The sequence below is a fragment of the Homo sapiens genome, chromosome 13 (genome assembly GCF_000001405.40).
Source record: "Homo sapiens chromosome 13, GRCh38.p14 Primary Assembly".
Lineage (NCBI taxonomy): Eukaryota > Metazoa > Chordata > Mammalia > Primates > Hominidae > Homo > Homo sapiens.
Window position 1 is genome coordinate 97,883,218 of NC_000013.11, and position 2,695 is coordinate 97,885,912.

The 2,695-nt window shown below is 48.6% G+C and overlaps 1 non-coding gene across 1 annotated transcript; it reads left to right on the plus strand.

Moving 5' to 3' along the window:
* The first annotated feature begins 2,591 nt into the window (after window positions 1-2,591).
* On the plus strand, window positions 2,592-2,695 carry LOC124903259 (small nucleolar RNA U13). The gene has a single exon (XR_007063958.1). It is a non-coding gene; the product is annotated as a small nucleolar RNA U13 (small nucleolar RNA).

The window sequence follows — 2,695 nt, forward strand, 5'->3', positions numbered from 1 at the left end:
GCAACTTAGGGTAGCCCTGGCCCTACACCCTGAAAAGGTTCATCTGCATTTTCTTTTTGTAGAGTGAAAGAAGATGCAAACAATGATTCCTATTTCAAATTTCTGATATGAAAAGAAATCTCTGGAATAAATCCTGCTGCTCTGGTTTTAAATTAATCTTGTATTGTCAGGAGACCATGAGTTTAAAACTGAGCACTTGGGGAGCCAGGGGTAATTTTTAGAATCACAGTGAATGACAGAGCAAACAGAGGCTCAAAGTCAGAGTCAGGCACATGTCTCTGATGAATGAGCTAGCAAAAAAATGTTGTTCTACTACAGTTCAAACCGCCAAAGTCAGATGAGGCTGTTTTTAGAATATATAAAGGTTCTGCTAAGTTCATCTCAAGTTCAGCAATGTAAAAGAAGTGCTCCATTGGCAATACAATACAGAAGGAGGAGCTCCAACCTTGGAGGCAGAAAAGTGGGCTTCAATCCCAGCCCGGCCTTGGGCACAGTATCTAACTTCTCTGAAGCTCAGAAGCCTCATCTATAAGACGGAGACGATGGTGCATACCTTGTTGTAAAGAGTCAAAGAGATAACATATCCCCAGCCCCAGAACAGTCCTGATACATGGAAGACACTAAGTATTCAACATTCAGATGAATGACGGGATAAAGCCCCTGATATCAATCACAGACACACTCAGTGAGGATTAGTTCCCTTCGCTCAGTCAACGCCATGAGTGTGGTCAAGATCATCTGGGGGAGAATAAGGAATGAGAGGTGAAGGAGCCAAGAGGCACACCAGGAGACATCAGAAAGACTCAGGAGGAACTGGAAGGAGGTGGGTGGCAAGCAGGGGAGAGGGAGACGGGAGCCCAGAGGGAAGGGGCTTATAGACAGGGAGATGTCCACAGTTAGATGCTGAAGATAAGCACTGAAATATATCCAGATAAATCATGGATTAGGCAGTCACTGGGGACCCTGGTCAGGGTTCCAGCAGGAAACAGATGACAGCTCCAAAGAGAGTTGAATGAGGAAAATGTACGATGCTCTGAGCAGACTCAGGGGAAAGTGGCTGGGGTGAAGTGCCCTGGGGTGGAAACAGCAGGAATCCACCACAACCCCTAGCCAGAAGGAGTGAGTTGGGCAGGTTCTCCAAGCCCCAGTGAGACCTGCATCCACAGGTGGCCATCAGTGGAGCTGGGGGCTTCAGAAGAGGAGGCAGCCATTGCCAACCCTGCCCTTCAGGAAGGGGCAAGAAAGCAATACTGATGACTCTCTGCTCCCTGCCTCCCATCACCTCCCCCAACCCTGCCATCTTCCACTAGAAACCAGAAATCCAGGTAGCTGCTGTCTACAGAGGTTGGCCTCCTGGGGAACAGAGCATGGGGAGAAGGGTGAAGGTCAGCATATCCAGCCCCCTGGGTGAGAGCAGACAGTTTGAGTAGCAGGGTGGTTGGGATGGGTCGGGAGAAGGGACAGCAGGCCCTCTACTCATAGTGACTCCATCAATAGCTTGAATCCTATATACACATCTGAAAAATAAAATACAACACAATGCCACTTCTTTTAAGATAGTCTACTATTCAGAATTCCCACAAAGTCTAACTGGCCTTCCCCCAACTGGTCCAAATTGAATTGTACTGCCTGCTGTCACATGGGGAGCTGCAAAGCCACACATTTCAAGACTGTCTAAAAACACCTCCATGGCTCTATCAGATGGCAGCTAGCCACAGCACTACTTCTTTTAGAAACCACAATTCCCAAATCTGAAAACGATTTGAGAAAGTACTACAAAAATGGCTATGTCTGCTCTGCTTCTCTCTCTGCGTCATCCTTGTGCAGAGAAAAGAACAATTTCAGCTCCTTTTGGGGATACAGATGTGCCCTGACCTACCTTCCCTCCCTGACTGGCCTGAGCTATCTTTGAAATTGGGTCTGCACTGGGGCCGGCGTGTCCTCAAAAGTCTGAGCGATCTGACCATCCATTAAGGACTGAGGTATTTGGCTTTTGCTTTTCCAGCCCCTCCCATCAGGCCTGTCCACCACCTCTGTCCACACCCCTCCGACCCACACACACCTGCACACACACCCGACCCACACACACCTGCACACACACCTGCATGCACATCTGCACGCACACACACACACACACACACACACAGACGCATTTCACAGCACAGTCTGCAGCCCTCTTCAATGTGGAAAGCTTGAGTGCATCACTCCACCTAGGGCAGGAGCCAAGCTTCCAGGTGAAACTGGAGCTGCAAATTCTTTCCCTTCTGGATGCCACAGAGCAGAAAGCAGACTCTTGGAATCACAGATCCCAGTGCAGGAAGAGGACTTACACTGCCTGGGCACCCTGAACAGTGCATAAAACCTCCACAGCCACTGCCTGGCTCATGGCAGCAATTCTGACAACCTCTTGCTTGGTCCACTTTCCTCCAGAACTTGTGCTGTCTGAGACCTTCAGAATGTGAAGTGCAGTGGGGAAACTGGGAGGGAAGCAGGTTAAGACTCATCCTCCCTCTCTTTAGGAATTCTACCAGTTAGCATATGGGTTGAGCCATATGGAAATGCTGTTATGCTTCAGTCAAAATGATGTTAAGATCCTCTTGTAGCTCCTAAGTGTGACGATTGGGTTTTCAGGCTCATATGTGAGATGTGCCTCCCTCAGATCTTGTTACGATGTTGGCACATTACCCATCTGATG